At 38.2% G+C, this 26,365-nt stretch overlaps 1 protein-coding gene across 1 annotated transcript in view; it reads right to left on the reverse strand.

Moving 5' to 3' along the window:
* Window positions 1–357: 357 nt before the first annotated feature.
* Window positions 358–26,365, reverse strand: part of HPF1 (histone PARylation factor 1) — a 28,475-nt gene continuing 2,467 nt past the window's right edge. Inside the window, exons 2-8 of the mRNA NM_017867.3 lie at window positions 24,564–24,723; window positions 21,424–21,613; window positions 19,632–19,730; window positions 12,845–12,995; window positions 8,548–8,635; window positions 2,592–2,764; window positions 358–597 (exon numbers count right to left, since the gene is read on the reverse strand). Of these exons, the coding sequence (NP_060337.2) occupies window positions 466–597; window positions 2,592–2,764; window positions 8,548–8,635; window positions 12,845–12,995; window positions 19,632–19,730; window positions 21,424–21,613; window positions 24,564–24,723 (993 nt within the window). The 3' untranslated portion in view covers window positions 358–465. The remainder of the gene's footprint in view (window positions 598–2,591; window positions 2,765–8,547; window positions 8,636–12,844; window positions 12,996–19,631; window positions 19,731–21,423; window positions 21,614–24,563; window positions 24,724–26,365) is intronic.

The raw sequence follows: 26,365 nt of genomic DNA on the forward strand, positions 1-26,365 counted from the left end.
AGTTTGGGTAGGTCGGGGTCAGGCACCCTGGAAGAGTGCTTATTGCAGTGTCATGAGTCTCCTTCTAAGTTTCCTTCTGTTCCCCTCTTCTCCTGCCATAAACCCGATCCTTAAAGCTACAGCTATTAACTCAAGACTCAGAAGAAATATTCTTAGTTGCCCATATGATAAATATTGAAACAGGACTCTGTAAGGATGGTCTAGTTATAGCCACAGGCATTAGACAGTGGCTTCCTGTGACATATCAGAGGGTGACTTTAATTGTCCTCCAAAATGTGATTAGGGTCACCATTTAGGTGATTTGACTGCCATTTTTTTGCACATTAAAGAAGGAAAACCAGGCAGAAGAACCTTATAAACGTTTTTAGTAAATGTTTATTTTTTGTATTCCTTAAAAACAAAACAAAAATCACAAGTTTAATACTAGTCCTTTGAAATACTGTACACCAATCAAAGCCACCTTACTCATGCAGCAAGTTGGTCTATGTTCTCTTGACTTCTGTTTGCCAGATGCTCCTCAATAATTTCTGCAAACAGATTCCTCTTCAACAGATTATATGCAAGAGGTAAAAGCTGGCCAGCAACTTTATGAAAATACTGAAAAATAAAAATATAACATTAAGCAGAGAATATAGCAGATATCCTAATAAGTAGCAGAAAATATATCAACAAAGCACTTGTTTAACAAAGGCTACTTCCAAAATCATTTTAGCTACACCCTCAGGTGGTTAGTGAACATAATTTAAGGACAGGCGCCTGGCATTCTAAGAGGCAGTCTTGTTGCTCTAGATGACTAATGGCATATCTTGAAAATTAAGAAAACCAAATTAAATCGAGCTTCCTTATTCCCTTAGGTTTTATCAACTTTTTCTCACCCCAAACAATGCCCACAAATACTTTTTATTCTCTCCAGTGTATTCCCAGGCAAAAGTTTAAGCTTTATTTTCCTCAATTCTGTAAGAATAGCTATGCTGAAAGTTTTCAGATCGTATTGCCTTTATCCTCAAATTCCTTCTCTCCCCCATCCCCAACACGTACCGCCTCCCAATCCCTGTTAAGAGTCACTGCCTTAGGCTTATCAAAAGATTTGAGATTACTGCTATTATCTACATATACCACCGTTTTGCTGATCATAATAAACATTTAGCCCTTAACATGCGGTAAGCACTGTGCTAAACCTTTTTATAACTCATACATGTTATTTCATTCTCACAACAAGCAAGTTTGCTATTCACTGGTTCACATCTTATGGCTCTACTTATTTATGGCTAGGGCCTCTCTAGCAGGTCAAGTACTATTTGGATTGGTCAATGACTGTCATTCTGGCTGTTAAGCATTTTGATTATTTTTACTGATAACTATCTATGAGGTGGGCAAAGAAAAGTAGTATAATATGGTTTATAGCAGGGTTCTCAAAATGTACACCCCCGACCAGGAGCATCAACTTCACTTGGCAACTTGTTGGAAATGCAAATTCTCAGGACCCACCCTAGAACTCAATCAAACTTGGGGAGGGTGGGAAGACTGCCAGTGAGCGTTTGGACAAGCCTTCCCATTGACGCTGATGCACGCTAAAGCTGGAGAGCTACTGGTTTGGTCTTGCTTTTCCCAGTGTGGTCTGTAGAGCAGCAGCATGACCGTCACCTGGGAGCATGACAGATATGCAGTCTCAGATCTCATGCTGGACCTACCGATAGAGTGCATTTTAACAATGTCTGCAGGTGAGTCATATGCATTTTAGTTTGGGAATTACTGCACTGATTTAGGCACTGATTCTGGAGCCAGACTGCTTGTGTGAACCTGGGCAAGATGCTTTGCCTCTCTGTGACTTGGTTACAAAGTAGGTTAAATGAGAATTAAATGATCTGCGTGTGGGTATGCACTCGTGCACATGTGCACACATATCTTACAGGTAAAGAAACAGATGCAAAGGTGTTGGAAAGCTTGCCCGATCTTACACACTGGGAAGATGTGATTTACAACCAGTTTGGCCCCAGAAACAGGTCATATCCGCTACACCTTATTGCCTCTTTGATCTTCAGGCAACTATGGTCGAGTAAGCACTGGTTTAGCTATTAAGTAAAATTTTCTTATTTAATGAGCAATTAGTTAACGGTAAAACAGCATCTCTTATAAAGCTTAAATAATTTAAAGTGCATTTTTCATCTAAGAATTTAAGCACAATAACAAATACCCCCACCACAATGGAAACGAAATGGAGCCTAAGGTGTGTGCACACACCCCCATACCTAGCCCCAAACGTACACACACGGCAAGAAGGCATGTCCCTATAATGTGTCTAATGAGTAAATTCACTTTAATGTAAGCCTGAATGCAAATAATCTTCACCTTTGAGTGAATGCAAATATTCACCTTTGCCAGAATATAAGATGAGTTTAAAACATTTTTAGGACATCTACGTTAAAAAAAATCACTTCAAAAACTTCATTTTGAAATACAAGCTGAATCCCTGTCTTACCTCTGCTGGAATTTGGGGGTATAAATGTGCACGTATTCATGTGTGGATGTATGTCGCGGGGAGAGGAGGGAGGTGTGGCAGTGGGTAGAAGGTGGAGGGTTTTTTTACTCACATGTGAGCCATAGCAAAAGAGATCCATTCCCAATTCAAGCCCCATGCCATAATCACATTCATCATTAGCAAACTGCACAAAAGTCATCATTTCCTGAATGGGAGCAAAAGCTTTTAGTCTCTCCTCATCACTTGCAGCCTCAACTATTGTCTTGCAAATTCTCTTGAGGTCAGCTGAAAGAAATCAATAATATAAAAGATTATCTACATAGTTAGAAAATGAATCAGTCTTCAAAAGTAAGAAGATTATAAAGAGGGTTTTTCCTCCTAAGACTTTGTACTAATACAACTTGTGCCACCTTGGGTAGTAGTCTTCAGCACTCTAATTTAGAATGGCAATTTGGTAACTTTTCTACTTAGGATTCAAGCTTAAAAACAGGTTAACAAGTATTTCTTTATTAACGACTATTTCACAGGATTTAGTTACAGTCACGATTTTTTTTTTTTTTTTTTTTTTTAGACGGAGTCTTGCTCTGTCACCAGGCTGGAAAGCAGTGGTGCGATCTCAGCTCACTGCAACCTCTGCCTCCCAGGTTCAAGCAATTCTCCTGCCCCAGCCTCCCAAGTAGCTGGCACTACAGGCACATGCCACCACGCCCAGCTAATATTTGTATTTTTAGTAGAGACGGGATTTCACCATGTTGGCCAGGATGGTCTTGATCTCTTGACCTCATGATCTGCCTGCCTCGGCCTCCCAAAGTGCTGGGATTACAGGCGTGAGCCACTGGGCCCAGATACAGTCATGATTTTTTTAAAAAGTCTATTCCATGGTGGTCATCATGCATTTACATAAGCTTTAAAGATTCAGCAGACTAGTCCAGGAGTTGGCAAACTTTGGGCAAACCTGGCTCACCCTGTGTTTAACTGCCCTCAAACTAAGTTTTTTTCATTTTTAAATGGTTGAAAAATCAAACAAGAATGTGATAGATTATGTAGCCCACAAAGTGTAAAACATTTACTATCTGGCTGTACATGGAAAGTCTGCCAGCCTGGTTCATGCACTATATAGTTGCCTCTGTATCTGAGGGTTCTACATCCTTCGATTAAACCAAGTGCGGATTGAAATACTCAGGAAAAAAATAAAACATACGGATTTTAAAAATACAGTATAACAACTATTTACATAGTGTCTACTTTATATTAGGTATTCTAAGTAATCTAGAAATGATTTGAAATATACAGGAGGATGTGCGTAAGTTATGCAAATTCTACACCAACTTATTTGAGGGACTTGAGCATCAGATTCTGGGTATCCTTCGAGGTCCTGATACTAAGACAACTGGATTAAAAAATAATCCAAGTAGGCAAAATTTATTCTTTTTGCCCTGTCCTACCTTGTTTGCTAAAAAAAATTACTGACTTGTGACTTGTGGTGAACTAAACCCAGAAAAAGACAACAATGTAAGAGACAAGAAATCACTGCAGAATTAAACCTTTAACTAAAACCTTCACCAAATTGGGAGAAGAGTAGGCATGGCAAGCATGCGTTTGAGGTAAGAATAGAGAGAAAATGTCTAATATTTACCTAAAGAATATATTTTTACAAATTAACATTTCAATTTTGGCTTTCAAGATTTTTTTCATTCTTTCTGGATGTTAATGTACATCCGATTTCAGGACGCAAATGAGATGGAAGTATGAACAATATCTATTTAGACTTCCTTTTGACAAATTGTATGTCCTTTTTAACAAACAGTACTTCTTTGAGAATGAAAAGAATGGATATTATTCAAACAAACCAACAAAACATTTCCAAACAGGTGGCTGCCATACTGGGGGAGAGGAAGACTGGTTAAAACATTAACAATTATACTCAAGAATGATAGGTGATGTTAAATTCTATGTATGAGGCACAACGTTCTGATGAGACTAACGAAAAATATCAGGTATGATATTACCAGGGACGGGCTGAGCGCAGTGGCTCACGCCTGTAATCCTAGTGGGAGGATTTGGGAGGCTGAGGCAGGAGGACTGCTTGAACCCAGGAATTGGAGACCAGCCTGGGCAATGTGGTGAGACCCTGTCTCTACAAAAAATAGAGAAATTAGCTGGACTTGGTGGTGGACACCTGTAGTCCCAGCTACTTGGGAGGCTGAGGTGGGAGGATCACCCAGTGCAGGAGGTGCAGGCTGCAGTGAGCCGTGGTCATGCCACTGCACTCCAGCCTGGGTGACAGAGTAAGACCCTGTCTCAAAAAAAAAAAAAAAAAAATTACCAAGGATGGTATTAAAAATATACTATATACTAGTGCTTTTAACCCCAGTCTATGAATAACATTTGGTTCAGTCTTGACGACAGTACAGAATACATGCTGTTACCCCAGTCACAAAATGTGTTGTTCCCTTTCCCACTTTTGGTGGACCAGTATCGCATTGAACGAATGGCAAACTGCACCACCTACGTTTCTAACTATCTATAAACAGTAGTGACATATTTGTTGGTTTGAAACCTTTTACAAATTAAATTATTTTACATGAGCTTCATGACATTCCTTTCTTCAGAAAAATCAGTGCTGATCATTTCAAGAAAACAGATGAAGCTTTCTCCAAAAAGCTCCTTAAGGATGGAAAATAAGTGGTTCCTCCCTGTTATCGTGGGTGTAACTGATTGACTGGGACCCTTAGAATCTCTCTCGCTGTGCTCCAGTCAGCCACTACAAATCAGGGTGGGTATGGAAGTGAAGAATTTAAAGTTTATCGCTTTCCAGTATCTTATTTTCTATTTTTACACCTGGCAAGTCACATATGGACTAAAAAGAATAAGCAACTTATGCGAATTACTAAGCTAGAAAAACACTGAAGAACAGAGATGAAAATATTCAGCTCACCATCAGTACAAGGAAAAATATGTTCTTCCAGCAATAAAACATTCTACAGAAATTTCATTTAACTGAAACCCAAACTTAAAGAACATGAGTGAAGCCTTAAGTTAACTATTCAAAAATGATGACTTAAATGTTTCTACTCAAAATACTCAATTTAATGAGTTAGGAGTTTCACTGCTGAATTCTTACTATATCCCTGCCACTACTATCAACTAGAATACTTAAATTAAGCTACAGTAGTTCTGTCAAGGTAAAAATCAGGCAACTAGGCAGGCAACTCTTCTTACTTCGGATAGTAGTATGCACTCTACAGTCAGAAAACCAAGTATGAAAACCAGTGCCCTCAGCCGGGGCTTTGGGAAGCCAAGGCAGGTAGATAACTTGAGGTCAGGAGTTCGAGACCAGCCTGATCAACATGGTTGAAACCCTGTCTCTACTAAAAATACAAAAATTAGCTGGGCATGGTGGTGGGTGCCTGTAATCCCAGCTACTCAGGAGGCTGAGGCAGGAGAATCACTTGAACCTGGGAGGCGGAGGTTACAGTGAGCTGACACCCTACCATTGCACTCCGGCCTGGGTGACAAGAGCAAAATTCCATCTCAAAAAAAAAAAAAAAGAAGAAAGAAAGAAAAAAAGAAAACCAGAGCCCTTACTGACTAATGCTAAGCACCGTGAGTCTATTTCCTTTGTGAACATGGGAATAAGACCTACAATAAAGAGTTGGGTGAGAATTAAATACATCACTTGTTAAAGTGAATCATGACACTGACATTTAAGAATTGCTCAATAAAACGTATCTTATTTGCTAAGTTAAAGCGTTATTGTGAGAAGCTTCAAAGGGTTAAGAACAAACTTAGTTGTGATTTGCTAATCATTGTCACATTAACAAACTGCCAGTCAGTTATACCTCTTGGCAAATGACACTGGCAAGAGCAAGAAGATTAGGTCCTTCAGTCTTAATGTTTTGCTACCACTTCAAAACTAATTAAATACAGAAGGATCTAATGCCTAGAATAGTAGACTTGGATATAAAACCCCAGAACCACAACTACCGCAGGGTAACAGGCTTTACTCCAGGGCACTACAATTTAACATCCATCACCCCAAAAGCTTTAGAGACTGCCCATCTCTACAACAAATGTGCGCAACCTTTCCCAAACGAGATAGTAATCATGCTTTTTAAAGCTCTCTCTGTGAGCAGAGACATGAAGAGAAGATGACTTAGTGTAGAAGCAGAAGACTGACCAGTAGCTAGGGCCCACAATGGTCCCATCAGAGACTAATTGACTCTGGCTTCAAAGAGGAGATATAGGACAGATCAGCCTGTCTAAGAGAAATACAGTGTGGGTTACATTTTTTCCAGTATCCACATGAAAAAAGAAACAGGTGGGGCAGGAGAAGGAGCTAAAAAAAAAAAAAAAAACCAACAACAAAAAACAGGTGAAATTAAGATATTTTATTTAACCCATATTTCCAAAATAGTATTATGTCAACATATAATCAATGTAAGAAACATTTAATCCTGTTTTAATTTACAAACTTAAACTAATTAAAATTATAGAAAATTACAGGCCAGGTTCGGTGGCTCATGCCTATAATCCCAAAACTTTGGGAAGCCGAGGTGGGTTGATCACGTGAGCCCAGGAGTTCGAGACCAGCATCGGCAACAGAGTGAGACCCCGTCTCTACAGGACAAAAACAAAAACAAAAACAAAACCCACCAATTAGCCAGGCATGGTGGTGCACACCTGTAGTCCCAGCTACTCGGGAGGCCGAGACAGGTTAATTGCACCACTGCGCTCCGTCCTGGGTGACAGAGTGAGACCCTGTCACAAAAAAAAAAAAAAAAAGAAGTAAAAAATAAATACGAGTTACAAATTTTGTTGCAGGAGCCACCTGTGAGGCACTCAGTGGCCATCACACTGGACAGCTCAGCCACATTCGTCTTCCCTATGGCACTCCTCTAAGTGGCAGGGGTACAGCAAAAACAGGTCCGTATGAGTAGCTGCCATCTAAGACATCTCTACCTACTGGCTGGAGACTCTGCACAGTAAAATTTGAGAAGAACTGCTTTAGAGAATTGGTTTAAATGCAGATGTCCAGGTCACAACCCCCAGAGACTGGTAACTACCAAGGCTAGTTAGTTCTGTTCTGAAAAGCAGACGGCCAAATACGTGCATTGGGCAGGAATATGTGGTTCTTTGAGAAGATGCTAAGTTTGATTTCCCTTTAAGTTTTATCCCCCCAGAAGAGGATGATCAATAAAGGAATACCAGCAGGGCTGTTCACGATAAGGGAATGGAGACAAGGGGAAAAGAATTGAGAAGCGATTTTAATTCTCGATGTTTAACGTAGCAATAACTAGATTATGCGCAGTGGTCCATTTTCAAAGTGTTTTTATACTTACAGATGACGTAGTTCAGGATCTTGGGCTTCTGAAAGCTAAATCATTTTATAGGCAGATGAAAAAATGTTCACAAAGAACCATAAAAACACAATTTCAATAATTACTACTTTGCAAGTTGACTGTAATGTCAAAGGTTCGGAAATAGTTCCCAAGAAGCAGGCAATGGGTTAAAATTCTGAAACCCCGTCTCTACTGAAAATACAAAAATTAGCTGGGCATGGTGGTGGGTGCCTATAATCCCAGCTACTTGGGAGGCTGAGGCAGGAGAATCGCTTGAACCTGGGAGGCGGAGGTTGCAGTGAGCTGAGATTGCGCCACTGCACTCCAGCCTGGGCGACAGAGCAACACTCCGTCTCAAAAAAAAAAAAAAAAAACAAACAAAAAAAGAAACTACTGAATTTTGAACACTGAGGCAAGCATTTTGTTAAGTATTTTAATACTTGTTTACACCACAAATTCCTTTATGAAGTGCATATGATTAGCTCCATTTTACAGATGAAAAAGACAAGATTTCACAGGGTTAAATAATTTGTTCAAGGCCACACAGCTATGAACTCGGTTTTAATTCAGGAATGACTGACTCTAAAACCTCAGCTTACTCTTTATTACTAAGGTCTAGCGACTGTGTCAGAAAAGGTATATAGACATACCTACTTCCCAATATAAGCAAAACCTTTATTCATGTGCATTAACATATATGCACATGTTTACTATGAAATACATTACCATCTGTTTCAGGGAGCTCTCGGTACCCAACATCATTTTTATCTACTGGAACAACCAAGCCTGCACCATGAAAGGTCTTTGTCACAACCTACATTAAAGAAAAGAATAAAATGTAATCATGGTAAGCAGACATCAAAAAAAAAAATCCCCAAATACATAAACCCTCAACATTTCTGCCAAAATGTAACATTTAATCACATTTTATTTCAGTAAATTTGGACTCCAGGGTAAAAATTTAACACTATTTTTTTCTTGAAAATCAGCTAAAAGTTAAACAGTTGAAGTAATCACAGAACAGTGAAATAATTGGCTTTTCTTAATTGTGCCAGTCACTTGGAAGTCTGCACCCTGATTTGTTAAGGAAGAACCCAATACATCCTAGAAGGCAAGTCAAAATATTGGTTTCCTCTAAGGTCAAAGTACCTTCTGGTAGAAAGCACAGAGGAACCTGGTTCTAAAAGAAAAAGAGTAAGAAATAGTTCTTGTCAGCAAGAAGATATGGTAGGACAGAACTCCTCTCATCCATCCTGCCAAATTGAGACTCCCCTATTTTTACCTGGAATATTTAGGCTTCTCTGCAAACTTCCCAAAAGTAGGGCAGTTTCTAGGTTTGTGGTGTCCTTTATGGAGGCAAATCACATAACCAGTGAGCTTTTATTAAGTGGTAGTCTTCAAAGACAAAAACAGGCCCAACTACAACTACCACCATAACCCTTCCAGTTTCCATTCTTCCTTTAGCTCATGTTAGTGACATTATTTTTAGGTCTTTCCTTAGCGAAACATCTGTACAAATATTCCACTTCTTTGTGCAATTCAGTGAAAAGTTTCCAAGGCAGAGGAAGGACACAACCCAAAAACCAAACTCCAATTTTAAAGGCCTCTCACCTAAGTCTCTATATCTTAAAGATTTTTTTCTCTCTAATCTCCCTATTCTCCCAGTCTCTTGCTTCTTTCATTATCCTTTATTAAGCTGCCAGAAAGGGCAGATTATTCAAAGGAAGTTATCAGACAACTGCTTACCACTTGGGAAAAAAATGAAGTCATTGTCTTCTATCTTAATCTTTCTATCAAGATAATCTGCAGCTGGATTTCAGAATTAAATGTAAAAATAAAACCATACACATATACACCATGGAATACTATGCAGCCATAAAAAAGGATGAGTTCATGTCCTTTGTAGGGACATGGATGAAGCTGGAACCCATCATTCTCAGCAAACTACCACAAGGACAAAAAACCAAACACTACATGTTCTCACTCATAGGTGGGAATTGAACAATGAGAACACTTGGACACAGAGTGGGGAACATCACACACTGGGGCCTGTGGTGGGGTGGGGGGAGGAGGGAGGGATAGCATTAGGAGATATACCTAATGTAAATGACGAGTTAATGGATGCAGCACACCAACATGGCACATGTATACATATGTAACAAACCTGCACGTTGTGCACATGTACCCTAAAATTTAAAGCATAATAAATAAAAAATAAAGACATAAAACTACTCGAAGGTAAATTTTAAAAAATAATTTTGTGATAGAGAAGAGTTGACTATATAAAAATAAAAAGTCTATCCAGTGAAATCAAGTACACAAGACAAATTAACTGATAAAATATATCTGCAAAATGTAATAGTAAATAAAAATTAATGTCTTTAAACTATAAGGGAGTCTAACAAAGGAAAAGACTAACATCCAAATTAGAACACATGTAAGAAAAAGACTAATTCTAACCCTGATAGAGAAATGGGCAGAGTTCAGGCAGTTAAAAAAAAAATACAATGGCCAACAGAGAAAAGTATTTAACGTCCTTTATAATTAAAGAAATGCTAATTAAAACTGCAGAATTTTATACCTACCAGCATGGAAAAAACTAAAAAGACTAAAGAAAACCCCCCAAAATTAGAAACAAGCAAAGAAAAACTACAAACACACCTACACACACACAAACTACTTTGGACCTGGCAATACTACGTCTAGGAATTTCTTCTAAAAAAATAACCAGATAAGTATGAGAATAAAGGTATAAAAGGATATCTATGGCAGGATTGTGTTTGTGAAAAATCTTAAGCAACCCAAACTTTGACCATAAGCACAGTATTCTGCAGCCGCTCAAAATTATGAGGTAGATCTTAAATTGGCAATATGAAATGATAAAGATACCATATTCATAAGTGTAAAAAGCAGGACATAAAGCACTGATAATGAAAGAAAAAGACAGCAGTGCTATAGTTGCCAGCTCAGGCTGAACAACATAAAGAATGATGGTAATATGTTCAGATTTTTCACAGATGATTACCTGTACTAATTGTCCATGAAGAGGAATCAATTAAGAAGTCATCAGAATTGTAATTTTATTAAGAAATTAAGAAGAATAAGATTACAAATTTAGGAAAGCTGTATAGGGGTGGGTGACATCCTGAAGCATGGGATCACAGGTGGATGGAGTGCCACACCATCATTTTATGCATCATTTAACCAACGTTCCTTATGAAGAAATCCAGGTATGAAAAAGGTGAAGTGGCAGAGAGCCAATTAGTAAGAAGATGGGGTGGAAAGAATGCTAAATATGGAAAATATGAAGTTGGGTTTTACATGTGTCATTTAAGATTTTGGACAAGACACAAAACCTCTATAACCCTCAATTTACTCATCTATAAAATAGGATAATTCCAACTTTGCAGATTTGTTGTAGGGAGTCAAATGATATAACTCATAAAGACTCTGCATTCCAAAGTATGCTAAGTTACTATCAGTATAAAAACACTGATTTCTAGTGTGCTGCACAGTGCTCTATCATACTAGAGTGGAAATATGCTTACGCTCACACACAAGGACAAAGCCACTAACTCACATATACTAGTGGAATTGAATTCTTCAGTAGAAAAATATGAATTCAATGAAGATCTCACAAAAACAATAAAAGAACAACCTTGCATTTAACAGAAAAGGGTTTGAAAGTATAGTCATTAACAGGGGAGGATTAAAAACATGATTGTCTTGAAAGTTCTTTTTTGTCTTTGTTTTTACCAGCTGTTTTTGTATAAAAAACAAATACTAAAATGAAACTTCATAGGGGAGGGGTCTAGGACAAAAATATCTATGAAATTTAAACCTCAATCATATCTTCTTTATGGGGAAGAATTAAGAAAATCTCCTCTGAAATAAATCATAGCTTGTGGTAGAAAAATAAAAAAAGACTGATTAAATAATTTGCTAACAGCTATTATGTGTACGGATGCTCAGACTTTAGTCAAAACAAATTAGAAATACATTAACTAGGTTACAAATGCTACCCTTCCTCCTAGTCACAAAGTGGAAGAAGCTTCCTGTGATAACCAGAAAGGTAAATGGCAATATAAAATCTTAATATTTAAAATGCCATATTGTAATGGGTTTCATTAAAATGTATGTTTTAAGAAACTTTCCAGTCTATAGGACTAAAGAGTGCCTAGAACTTGATACAAATGTCACCCCTGCAGCTGAATCAAGATCAGAGAAGGAACTGAAGTAGGATTTAATGCCTAAGTACACTAAGGTACTTCATTACCAGTGCTAGTTTATTAAGGAATAGCAAGTTCTCCATTTAGCTTAGAACATTCAGATGAACCAGCATGGGCAGACAAATGGTGAGAGGCTGGAGGAGACTGGGGAGCCCTCATTCCAGTGACAAATTTTTTTTTTGTTTTTGTTTTTTCCCCAGAGGCCATAAGAACAAACTCCTATAGAATTCTCATTTACTCCAAACCAGAAATCTTCCAGCTTGTCATTAACTTACTCTGAAATCTATAGCTGAAAAACCAAAAGAATCCAACATTAACAAGTATTTGCTCCTTTACAAAATACTCCCCTCATATTGCAGACATTAGGAGAGATGCAAAAGGAAATGATAGGATTAATAAGGAAAAAGAAAGGAGCACTGCTTATATACACGTTTACTGGAGAAAATGTATGTATGTAAATTTCATTATGTACAAAGCAGCTTTCACTTAACTTTATGAAGTGATTAAATGGTAAACAAGATTAAAAGAGTGGTAAATACTGGCATGAGTTATTCAACCACAGCAGTGATATCACCAGTTGCGCAATTCAATCAGTGTACCAACCCAAAGGAGCCATCTGACCCCTGTTTCAGTGCCATCCTCTTTCAGTGCCATCCTCCTAACATCCCTAAGGGACAGCATCCAGTTCTTAAGATAGGACTAGGGAAGAGAAGGGTAAAGTAGAGATGGGAAGGAATCAAGAGGGGAAAAAAATATGCTATAGCAAAACAGAGACCAACAGGTTGAAATCATACTTTCTTATCTCTCTGTTTCATCTTCACGGTTCTCTGTTCAAGCGAGTACCCCAATTCTCTGGCTGCTTCTGTGAGTTTTTCATCTATGTTTTTCAAGAGATTGATTTTCTTTTTATCCGTTATTTCTCTAAGTTTTTTCGTCAAAAATAATCTGAAAAAGAAGTAAAAGTCCGCATTATGTGGCAGGCCACTGTACTAAGTACAAAGACCTTTCAAAGTTGAGCCAAGGTAAAAATGTCAAATTCCATACAAGAATAAGTCCACAGAATAATTACCAACACTTCTCTCAAAATCCCTAATAGTTTTCTTCAAATAAGAGAAAAGCAATATTCATAAAAAACTGCCAGTCAGAGAAAGAGCAAATACGATTCAAATTTATATTAGCACTCTAATGTCTACAATAAAGGTATAAGGGGTATTTGCAAAGCTGAGATTAGTCAAGGTTTAAACTGTATCACTTGATACTAAGATATGGCATACTACTTTGGAGAAGTCTGACCTAACAGAAAAAAAAGTAGACATCAAAAAAAAGTAGACATCAAAAAAATTTTTCAGGCAAGGCGCAGTGGCTCACGCCTGTAATCCCAGCACTTTGGGAGGCCAAGGCGGGCGGATCATGAGGTCAGGAGATCAAGACCATCCTGGCTAACAAGGTGAAACCCCGTCTCTACTAAAAATACAAAAAATTAGCCGGGCGTGATGGCGGGCGCCTGTAGTCCCAGCTACTTGGGAGGCTGAGGCAGGAGAACGGCGTGAACCCGGGAGGCAGAGCTTGCAGTGAACCGAGATCGCGCCACTGCACTCCAGCCTGGGCCACAGAGCAAGACTCCGTCTCAAAAAAATATATGTATATATTTTCAGGGACCAGGCATGGTGGTCCATGCCTGTAACCCCAGTACTTTTGGAAGCCGAGGTGGGCGGATCACTCAAGGTCAGGAGTTGGAGACCAACCTGGCCAACATAGTGAAACCCTGTCTCCACCAAAAATACAAAAATTAGCTGGGCATGGTGGCATGCACCTGTATTCACAGCTACCCGGGAGGCTGGGGTACGAGAACCACTTGAACCCGGGAGGTAGAGGTTGCAGCCATCCAGTCAGCCGAGATCGTGCCACTGCACTTCAGCCTAAGACTGCCTCAAAAAAAAAAACAAAAAACTGTCTTTTTTTCCGAGATGTTGTTTCATTCTTGTTGCCCAGGCTGGAGTGCAGTGGCAGGGTCTCAGCTCACTGCAACCTCCACCTCCCAGGTTCAAATGATTCTCCTGACTCAGCCTCCCGAGTAGCTGGGATTACAGGTACATGCCACCACGCCCAGCTAATTTTTGTATTTTTAGTGGAGACAGGGTTTCCTCATGTTGGTCAGGGTGGTCTCGAACTCCTGACCTCAGGTGATCCATCTGCCTTGGCCTCCCAAAGTGCTGGGATTACAGGCGTGAGCCACTGCCCCTGGCCTTTTTTTTTTTTTTTTTTTTTTTTTCATTTTTAAAGAGACAGGACACTATTATAACACTAAAGGTCGATAGATTTTTTTTTTAATGTTGAAGTTTGTGTTAAGAAAAATTTAGAAAACACAAAAGGAAAGCAAAGCTACTTTGTAAGCTTATACAAAAGCATAATCCAAAGTAGTTCTCAAAAGTATGTGAATATATATCATGTTAATGCCACTTATGGAAATAATTTTATATTTTGTCATAAACAGGTTAAGATTTTTGCCATCAATATAAAAGGTCAGGAGTAAAATGAAGAGCGGCAAGAGTGTGCCAGACTTCCAGGAAGAAGGCTGAGGGAGTAACAACTCCTAGGAAGAAACTCACTTCTATTCACTGCCAACATCTGAGAGTTTGTAGTATTCCCTGCAACACTGTTAGGGAGTTAGAACATTTATAGTGGGTGCTAGTCTTAGCTTCATTGTACTTATCAGGAAAAAAAAAAGGCACAGAGGATAGTCAACTTACCCAAGTTGAGAGAGCTAATAGATTAAACCCGTAGAGTTACCAGTAGAACTGGTAGATTAAAATGCCACAGAAACCCAAGCCATCAAAATCTAACTTCTGATTACAGCACACGGTTACACTAAATCTTACCTTCAATTATTACCAGCTGTATGTCTAGAGGGTATTTTTATATCAACCATAAAATACAGATTTGATCATGTCAGTCCTATGTGAATCAATCGATCTTTACAGTCTTCCTCAACACTCTGGCACGGCAATATAGCCATTCAAGTACCCTGTGCCACGTATTTTCACACTTTCACACACATACTGCTCCCTTACCTAAAACATCCTTCTTCCCATTCTTTCTAGTAAGTTCTTAGGCATCCATCAAAGCCCACATAAAATATCCTCTTTTACCTCTGCCACTATTGAAGGCACTTGGTAGCTGCCTTCCCATACATATGACATTATTATGACTATCTCTGTAAGTTTTTGTCTCTGCCGAAACCTACTCTAACACTTTACTGTGTGATGCTTAAAGATAAGGTGCGATGTGCAACTGAAGCCATAACCATGAACGTGAACATTTTGTGCTGTGACTTTAAATCCATTAGAATGTCTTCAACGCAAATGAATTTGTACCCATGCATGTTATATGGCATCATGCAATGGCCCTTTGGAAATAGTGGTTTACTAAGTTATATAGATGTAAGTGTTGAAACTTATATATCAAATTCATTACATAACATTATGAAAAAAAGCTATTGCGCTCACAGTGGTATTACAAGTTTCTCAATCTAATTTTTATTTGAAACCCTGAATTTTATCACTGACAAAAAATATAGTCAGTTGTTTTCTTTGGTTCATTTGAGAGAATTCCTGCCAGTAGCTAGACCCAAATAACCAGTTTGTCAATGAGTCACTCTTTTTTTTTTTTGCATTCCAATCTTGGGTTTATTCAACACAATTCTTCCACTCTACACAACAAAGTACAAACACAATGTCATCTAAAATGCTACAAAGGTATAAAACTCAAAGAGAAATTTTATAGTACTGACTGTACAATAAGAAAAAAAAAGAAAAGCAATGTACATGTTGCCAAGATAACCTGAAAGACCACCATGAAGGACAGGCACAACCATGGCTGCGGGATGACCCCACAGAGCTGGCTCTCAACTCACTCGCCAATTTCAGAGTAGGGTGGTGGGGTGGTGTGTGTGCATAGGTGCACGGACAGACAGAACCATGCACAGCAACTACCATGGGTGAGAGGATCTTTGGGGGTGTGTGACCCTTGAAGTCGGAAGAGGCCTCGAGAGGCCGGGCCTAACAGGGTTGGCAGCTGCACTAAACCCTGGGGCAGCTCCCTTTCCAAAAGGACACTGCCCAGCGACAGCAAGGGCACGGCCTGGCCACCATCCCAGGTCATCAGGGAAGGGAAAAGTGTGCTCCCAGGTAGGCAGGGTCAAAGCACCCCCAAGAGTCTTACTTGTCCCTGGTGGCTCTGCCACTGAACTGACTCTTAGAAACTGGAAATGGGTGAGCTTTCTAGCCAGAAAACCAGAGGGAATCTTGACAGGCACACAGTCAATGAGTCACTCTTTCTAAAAGTGGGGAAAAGTTCATCTCAAAATTCAATCATACAAGGGCTTTTTTTTCCCTTGAGACAAACCACAGTACTTCAGTATGAGAAATGCTTTCTATGTATTTCCTATTTCATCACAGAATGTTAAAGAGATGAACTCAATGGTAGACATCTAATACATGTATACTCCAACACTGACATTTTTCAGGCACAGGGTCTTGCTATGTCGTTTAGGATGAACTTGAACTCCTGGGCTCGAGCAATGCTCCCACCTCAACATCCCGAGTAGCCACCATGCCTGGCTCCATCACAAACATTTTTAAATACATTTGCATGTTACTGCTGTGAATAATGCAATGACTGCTGCTACCCTGGTGGCACTATCTTGATTCCTGCCAAGGTGACAACAGTATTATCCACTATTTACTTTGTGCCATTGGTGCAAAAATAACATTTTATTATCACAAATAGTTTTGACCTTAAGGGTCCCTGACCCAAGGTCAAAACTGTTTACCCCAGTTATTTTAGGAAAATAAATAAGGCAGAAGGAAAAAAAAAATCATTCCTTTGTTGTTCAAAGTTATTTAAGAATTATGTTTACTTCCATATGCATTAGACAGTATGAAATGGAATCATTCTACACTATTGTTATTTGCCCACTTCATAACAAATTCAACAAATCAATACCAAAGTATTATAGTATATGGATAGTTTATATTTACCTAATCTTCCCTATTGCTGGATATGTTGCCAATTTTTCATTTGATAAACAATCTGTAATACACATATTTCTGTACCTGTCCAAAATCCCTTTAATAAACAGCTAGAAGTGAAATTGCTAACTTAAGGGTATAAATGTGTACTTCACATAGTACCTGACAATGTCACCTATTAAGAAATCTTAGAATATGCTTTCTAAGTTAACATTTTTCAAATGTTAACATTAAACATTTTTCAAACTGCTTTCTACAAAAGTTTTACCAATTAACACATCAGTAAGGGTTCTTATACCCTAACCATCATTGGTTATTACCATTCTTTAACCTTTAAAAAAAATCTTTGCTGGTTAAATTGGCATTTCTTTAGTTACTATTAAATCTTGCAGACACAAGATTTAATAATAACTAAAGATAAAAATGTGTTGATCAAAGGTATGCCTTGAAAGACCTTATTCAGTCTGCCATAAAAATAAATTTTAAAATATATAAAGAAATTAAGTGTTCTGGTTAGCTGATTTAAGGAGGTAGTACCTAAAAAACTAAAACCGTTATAATACTTTAAAAGTACTAAAATAGTTATATCTCAAGTAATTTTTTACCCCTGTTTGAGATAAATTATTGGAGGTAGTTCCTCAAATACTCACTTGCTGATCTTCACCTAAGTTATAAATATCACCCATGCATTTTTTTTTTCTTTTTCATTGTCTATGTTCTCCAATTAGCTTAAAAAAAAAAAAAGATACCAGAAGAGTCTTGGGTTATGTTACATGACCACTATTATGTTATCTTTTTTTAAAAAAAAAAAAAAACATGACTAATAACACAAATGAAAAGTTAGGCTTGTTTTTCGAAAAAGAGACAGTCTCACTATGTTGCCCAGCCTGAAAAAATTAGGTGTTTTTACATGCCAAGGTATTTATAGAATTAATATTTATGGAGCATCTAGTATGGGGCAGATACTCTGCCCTCGTGGAACTTAACATGCTAGTGCAAGAGACAGACAATAAGCAAGAAAACAACAAGAGTTTCTAATAAAGATGGCACCAATTTAAATTGAATGATAAATCCAAAGAGTTTAAAAGAAGTTATAAATTACAAATACCAAGTAACATTTTATAGGAAACTGAGAGGTATTAGAAAAGAAAGAACATTTTTGGACATCTACAATGTAGCTGCCTTGTAGATACACCAGTATGTACGTAGCATAGTCTAGTGGTTGTAGTAGGGTGATTTAGTTTGAATTCACTTTACTGCAAATTTGTATGATCAAATCACAGGGAACAACAGCCCTTTAAAGAGACAGTACTAAAAGAGGTCAAAGAAAAGATAATCTACTTGTATTTGAAGTGATAAAGTTTGCTTTCTTCATTACAATGCAAACTACACAGCTGCTGACAAATAAAATGGCTTCAAGTCATGTCTGTGGCTGATATAGCACAGACTGGCTCACTCACCTCTATTCCAACCCCTTCCCCATGAAAGTTCACTGCATTTCCCATACTACTCTTTAGCTCAGGCTCCACATGGGACCTATCTTCTTCCAAGCAGCTGCAATACTTTGAAATCTCAGAGGCAGAAGAGATACCACATGGAGGCTGTGCTTCCACGATCTCCATCAATGAGCACAGCTGTAGAGGCATCTGATGGTTCTGCAGCAGCTGTAGCTGAGATCCCAGCACCTGGTTCTTAGCTTCACGGGGGCTGAGAGGCAAAGAGTAGGGCATCCATTTACCTGGCCCAGATTATACCAAAGATAATGTGGTCCTAGAGCCACTCACTGTGGCAGCAGTTCTCGAATTCCCAGCTCCCTGATGGTGGCAGAGACAAAATCCACTGTGAGCCACACAACTGTCATTCCTGGAAGCTCAGCCTGCTCCCTCAACCCTTCCAAGGATATAATGACCACCTCTTTTTACTTTATTAAGCCTTTCTGTTTGAACCATACATAAGAAATAAACTCTTAACAGGTGTTTAAAATCAGATGTCTAACAAAACTGTTGATGTTGCCATGGAACACCTGAGGTCAAGTATTATTTTCGTTAAGTAAAATAGTTACATAAGAGGTGTATTTTTTTGGTGAAGAGGCACAAAATAACAGTATAGATAAGACTACCTGCAAAAGTCATGGAAATTATCTCTAGAAATCTACAATTATGGGCTTGTCTCAAATCCGCTTTGTTTTTTTTTTTGGAGATAGAGTCTCACTCTGTCACTCAGGCTGCAATGCAGTGGCGCAATCTCGGCTCACTGCAACCTCCGCCTCCTGTGTTCAAGCAATTCTCCTGACTCAGCCTCCTGAGTAGCTGGGATTACAGGTGTGTGCCACCATGCCTCCAGCTAATTTTTGTATTTTTAGTAGAGATGGGGTATACCCATGTTGTCCAGGCTGGTCTCGAACCCCTGACCTAAGCGATCTGCCCACCTCGGCCTCCCAAAGTGCTGGAATTACAGGTGTAAGCCACTGTGCCCAGCCCCTCAAACCCCCTTTGTAATGGACTAATGTAGTATAAACATTGTAAACAAATATAAATTAAAATATTCTTACTTGACTGCAGCAAATACATTATCTCCATTTGGAACAATTATACAATTTTTCTTTGCTTCATTTATACCAACATATACAGGAAATTCATCAGGAGAATCCCTGTGTAAGCAAAAGACATTAAAAATTTAGCTGCCCATAATTTATATTATCAGGCAAGTGGGATTTCAGGTCTACAGACAACAATTTACACCTATTTTTTTTCCTTTTTGGAGGCCTTTTTTTTTTTTTAATCATACCAGAATTTATCGATTACATCAAACAAAAATTTCTGTAATGGAAAAGGCAAGTTGCAGTCATAAAAGATGGCATTCACATTCATTTTAGAAAGCAACAACGTAGATGTAAAAAATTGTTTAAGTGAAAAATGTAATATTGCAGTCCCATTTTGCAAGCTGAAAAATTTTGTCAACACACATAAAATCTGCACATTTACATACTGCATGTTAAAAAATTCCATCACTAAAGTATTATAAATATTGCAAAGTTAGGCTTAAATTTATACTGTTGCTGGTGTATATGTAGTAGATATGGAATGAATGTTTTCAGTTTAGTAGGTAGCATCCTCAAACAACGGACAACAGTTGTGAAAATTACAAAGACATTTCAATAGCTCAAAATTATCCAAATTATAGGTACATCGTCCTATTATTACACTTTTTTCCCTTTCTCTGTCACAAATAGGATGATTACATTGTAGTGGTAGGAATACTGCATGGTCTACTTCAAATTATTCGATCTGCTAACCCCACACTAGTCATTTTTCATCAGCTCCTCAGTAAAATATCTTTTAAAAAGGAAAGCCAGGTCCCTCCCAAGGATCTAGGTTGATGCCTTTTTTATAAGGGCATTTTTAAAAAAATTCAAACAAATTTGCCAGTTTTAAGCTCCAAGTTTCTTAGGAATATCTATGATAAATCTTATATAATGGAACCTAAAACTAAGATTCTTAGGACCTAGTTGCTTTTATACTCAAATACAAAAAAAAAAAAAAAGGAAAAACAAGAAAAAGGATTGTAAAACATTAGAGATGAAAGGATCCTATTCACGTATATAACCAAACCTTTTATTTTAAAATTGAGGAAACAAATACCGAGAGGTTAAATTACTCAGCCAAGGACCTAGTAAGTTAGGACCTTGGCTACAGTATAATTCAATTCCTAGCCACATGTGCATTCTGCTGTACTACAACACTTCTTCCTGGGCACGTTCCTTCTATTACCTTACATTTAATCTTCACTTTAAAGGATAGCATTTCTACTGGTACAAGCGGACAAGTATTTTCCTCCTGGAGTTTCTCTATTTCTAAGTATTCTGCATGCATTCATTTAATTCTCATAATATTCCTATCAGGTATGTACAGTTATCCCTATTGTTACAAGACAGGAAACCGAGTCACAGAAAGTCACAGTCAGTAATGATACAGGGTCACACAGATAATAAACAAGAGGACCAGTGTGACTCCAGAGACCACTCTTAACTACCAGTTGCCACTCTGGCACACGGCTTATTAAGCACAGCTGCTCTAAATTATCTTTCTTGGGCCAAAAGAGCTCTTCTGAACCCAAAAGGGAAAAAAAGTTTACAAGGAAAGGAAAAACAAGTGAGATTAAACCTAAAGAGTTTACCCATCCTAGGGAAGGTTAAAACGGTAACAGCAAGAACAACAGATGGCTCATATATCCACCAACAGGGGAAAATATGCCTTTCACCTTGGGTGAGGCTAGTGAATAACTATTTATCCTCATTAGCAGGACAGCAGCTGTATTTTAGAGGCGAAGAAAAGATCCTTTACCTGAAATACCCCATGTGGTACTGAGTTTTATTATCTCCAATAATAATGGTCTGGAACTCAGGAGGATCATAGTAAAACCTCCAGTGAAGGTTAAAATTCAGGCCTGTTGATTTTTTCTTCGTTTTATGTTTTCCAGCAAGGATATCATAAGGACCAACTAATTGAAGTCCAAGGCTTGCAGAAAGTGAATCTATAAAGAAAATAAATTTAGACAATACTTTCTGGAGACAGGTAGGAAATAATGCTTTTATTTAGTAAACTATTTCTAAGCAATTGTCTTTAAAAAGTTTCTAAACTAAAAAAATCTTGAGTTATGTGTGAAGATGTCAGTTATAAACATTCAATGGAAAAGAAGTCAGAGTAACAGGAAAAGTGGTATTTACATTTAGGATTTCCTCTTAAATTTACCACTGAATTAGCCTAACATTTCAGACATTCCTGTTGTTTCTTATTTTGGCCAAAGCAAGACTGGTTTGTATTCCTATAGGCCCATTACCACACTGCAGTTAGCCTCAAATACTTGTAGTACACACAGGTTAAGGGAGAGAAAGATAGCAAAAATGTGTGGATTAAGAGTAGTAAAAAACAGGCCAGGTGTGGTCGCTCACACCTGTAATCCCAGCACTTTGGCAGGCTGAGGCGGGCTGATCACCTGAGGTCAGGAGGAGACAAGCCTGGCCAACATGGCAAAACCCCGTCTCTACTAAAAATACAAAAATTAGCCGGGTGTGGTGGCTCACGCCTGTAATCCCAGCTATTGGAGAGGCTGAGGAACAAGAATCACTTGAACCCTGGAGGTGGAGGTTGCAGTGAAACGAGATTGCGCCATTGCACTCCAGCCTGGGTGACAGGGTGAGGCTCTGTCTCAAAAAAAAAAAAAAAAAAAAGGTAAAAAACATTTCTATCCCCTTTCCTCTACCTCAGCTAATCACACCAGATTCCCCTGACTCTTTGACAATCTATTTGGCCAACCCTAACCCTGGATGACTCCATCTTCCTTCTCTATTCACGGATCACAGACAGGGAGTGTTCATAAACCACAAAGACATGAAGTCTGTGCAAGTGTACAATGCATAACTTCAAATGGGTCCTTACTTCTAAGATGGAGGGAAGCACCCCAGACAGGACCCAGTTTTATAAGGAGGGAAGGATGAAGAAAACAAAAAAATTCCTGGAAGAGGTAATAACATGAATAGAAGCATGGAGATAACTTGACAGGAAAAATAGTTCAGCTTAACTGAAGCTTAGGAGAGCATACACTAATTTTTAAAGCATGAAGAAAACTAAAACCATCCATCTCATTAGCCGAAGATAACAGTTAATAGTCTATTATACAGTAACAAATTTCCATACTCTCCACCCCCATGAACAGATACAAACATGTAACAAACTGAGAAGGGTTGTTTTGTATTGTAATCTGCTTTTGTCCTCCATCCTGTCCCATTTAAATGTTCTGAATATTTTTCCATGCTATTCAATGTTATTTGACATGATTTTTTAATAGGGCATAATACTGCATTATAAAGAGGTAACCATCTATTCTCTTACTGAGGGAAATTTACTATTTCTTTTTTCTGTTCTAAAATGTTTCAGTGAACATCTTTGCTAATAAATGTTTGTATACAGGCATGACTTTTTTTTTTTTTTTTTTTTGAGATGGAGTCTCGCTCTGTCACCCAGACTGGAGTGCAGTGGTGTGATCTTGGCTCACTGCAACCTCCGCCTCCTGGGTTCAAGCAATTCTCTGCCTCAGCCTCCCAAGTAGCTGAGATTACAGGCACCCGCCACCACGCCCAGCTAAAGGCATGACTATTTTTAAAGAAACAGCTACACAGTTCTGTTCTGATCTACTGGCAAAATTCAGAATATGTATCAATACACATTTCCATCAATAGTGTATGACAGTGCCTACTAGTTAAAAAATTTAAATAGTATAGTGCAAAGTAATGAACACAGCCCATTAACAGTTTCTTTATCCTTTCAGAGACAAAATAAGCACACAGAAAAGTATACAGGGATATGTGTGTACTCTCTCTCCCCCATGCTATTTTTAAAAAAATACTAATGGTAGCATACTCTATACACTCTTCTTTTTCACTTAACATATTTCAGGCATGATAGTTTATTATTTCCTAAAAATCTGCTTCATTCTTTTAAAACAATGAAGATCTACTGAATAGATGTGGTATTGGTAGGCATTTAAGCCATTTCCCATTTTTTCTTTAAGTAAATATCCTCAAACATAATTCTTAGTTTATGTAATCCATAAGACAAGTTCTTGGAAGCAGAACTGTTATAACTCCTGCAACACATGAAAGAGCTTGCTTTCCTTCACATTCCCCCAGAATGTGATGAAATTACCTTTGCCAATAAACTAGGTGACAGTGGCATTACTATAGCATTAATCTATATTTCTTTCTATATTTTCTCTTACTAGAAGAAACATCTTGGAAAATATTTGTTTTCTATGAACAGTTTATATCCTTGGTTAGGTTTTTTTTTTTTTTTTTTTTTCTGAGACAGGGTCTTGCTCTGTCACCCAGGCTGGAGTGCACTGGCACAATCTCGACTCACTGCAGCCTCTGCTTCCCAGGTTCAAGCAATGATCGTGCCTCAGCTTCCCGAGTAGCTGGGACTACAGGTGTGCACCACCATGCCCAGCTAAATTTTGTATTTTTAGTAGAGACAGGGTTTCACTGTGTTGCCCAGACGGGTCTCGAATTCCTGACCTCAAGTGATCTGCCTGCCTCAGCCTCCCAAAGTGCTGGGATTACAGGCATAAGCCACCATGCCTGGCCAATTATTCTATGTTTTAGAGACGGGGTCTTGCTCTGTCACTGAGGCTGGAGTGATCAGAGCTCACTGCAACCTCAAACCACTGAGCTCAAGGAGGGATCCTCCCATCTCAGTCTCCTAAGTAGCTAGGACTATAGGCACATGCAACCACGTCTAGTTTTTTGTTTTTGTTTTTAATTTTTTTGTGGAGGTCTCACTATGTTGACCAGGTTGGTCTCAAACTCCTGGCCTCAGGCAATCCTCCTGCCTCAGCTGGGATTACAGAGTGTGAGCCACCACACCCAGCTGGTTTCCTATTACATTACTCTTTCCATTAATACAAGAATGATTCTGGAGCAACTCACCAGATGGCTTTTCAGGATCAAGTTCTTCACAGAACTTCCAGAAGTGATAGAAATCTTCAGGTAAAGAAAGCTTATAATGATTTTCTACTTCTTTTCGAAGGTCACTGGAGACATCAGCTTCACAGAATTTACTTTTCTTCACATCAGTTGTTTTTTCACACTGAAAATTGGCACACAAACTTTAGTTCTCCAAATTTCAGTAACTCTCCTTGCATAACAGTATCTATCACTCTTGTTCACCCAACTCTATGAAATACATGTGTTTTCCTTAAAACTCTCTAAATGGTCTTTGAGTAAAATCTGGGAATTCATTTGGGCACAGGAAAAAAGAGTAGTTTATATGGTGGTTAAGAGGAATCCACACAGCAAGTCTTTAAATATATTTTTGTAAGATAATGGAAACCACAAAAAACAAAAAGGTAAAAAAAAGAAATAATAAAGAGCAGGAAGAGAGGAATAAAGAAAGGGCAGATTTTGCCCTCTTTTGGTTAAAGGTGTGAGTCTTTTAAACAGATTCATTGATCAAATGAGAAACAAATAGAAGTAACTGGATATAAGCAATTCATCAGTTAAAAAGCTGTTTCTTTAGCAACTTCTAGAGTTGTGTCTGAGCTATTCACTACAATCATTACCCAGCCTTAAAAACAGATACCTCCCTTTTGATTTTCCAGATAAAGAGGGAAGGTTAGTGACAATGTTAAACATCTATAGTTCCTAATAAAGTTAGCAGAATAGCACTAAACTCTGGGCCAAAAATCCAATTATTTCAGAAAAGGCCTTTTAATGCCAGGATGAAGTTATAATACTCATCTCTAGGACCACCACAATACAGGTTCATTATATAAGTATACTAGGTTTTATAATGCCTACTAGATATTTGATAAATTTCTGTAAAGACAATATGCTTAATTGGAAGTTACGTATGTTTAGTTTTCTAAGCAGCAATCTGTTTTTCTATGAACCTAGATTCTTTCTTTTTGGATTAAGTTCTTTCCTTTTTATTCTTCCTACCTAGAGCAGTGGTTCTCAACCGGTGGTGATTTTGCCCCCCAGGGGACATTTGGAGACCTATTTAGTTGTCACCAATTGGAAGAAACGGTGCTAGTGGGGCAGAGGCCAGGTATGCTCAACATCCTATAATGCCCAGGATAGGCATCCTCAACAAAGACTACTGGCCCCAAATGTCAACAGTGCTCAAGTTGAGAAATTCTGAGCTAGATGTTTCTCATATTTATATATTTTTTTATTTTATTATTATTATACTTTAAGTTTTAGGGTACATGTGCACAATGTGCAGGTTTGTTACATATGTATACATGTGCCATGTTGGTGTACTGCACCCATTAACTCGTCATTATTAGGTATATCTCCTAATGCTATCCCTCCCCCCGCCCCCTCATATTTATATTCTTCTATTTTCTCAGTAGTCTGAAGTTTATTAACGTTAGGTATCATTCAACGTCTACAAAATGTAATCAGATGATACAAGAATGGTCATGGTGGCATTAATTCCAAGAGCAAAAACAGAACAAATGAAATACCTATTGTTAGGAGAACAGTTGTAAGGTTTTCAAACAATAGACTATTACACTTAATATTACAGTTGACCCTTGAGCAACAAGGGTTTGAATTTTGTGGACCCACTTATACATGAATTTTTTTTCCAACCAAATGCAAATAAAAAAATACAGTATTCTTGGGATGTGAAATCCACTTATAGAGAGGGCCAACTTTTCGTATACTCGGGTTCCACAGGACCAACTTTGGAACTTGGGTATGCTCAGATTTGGGGATATATGGAA

The sequence above is a fragment of the Homo sapiens genome, chromosome 4, assembly GCF_000001405.40.
Source record: "Homo sapiens chromosome 4, GRCh38.p14 Primary Assembly".
NCBI classification, from domain to species: domain Eukaryota; kingdom Metazoa; phylum Chordata; class Mammalia; order Primates; family Hominidae; genus Homo; species Homo sapiens.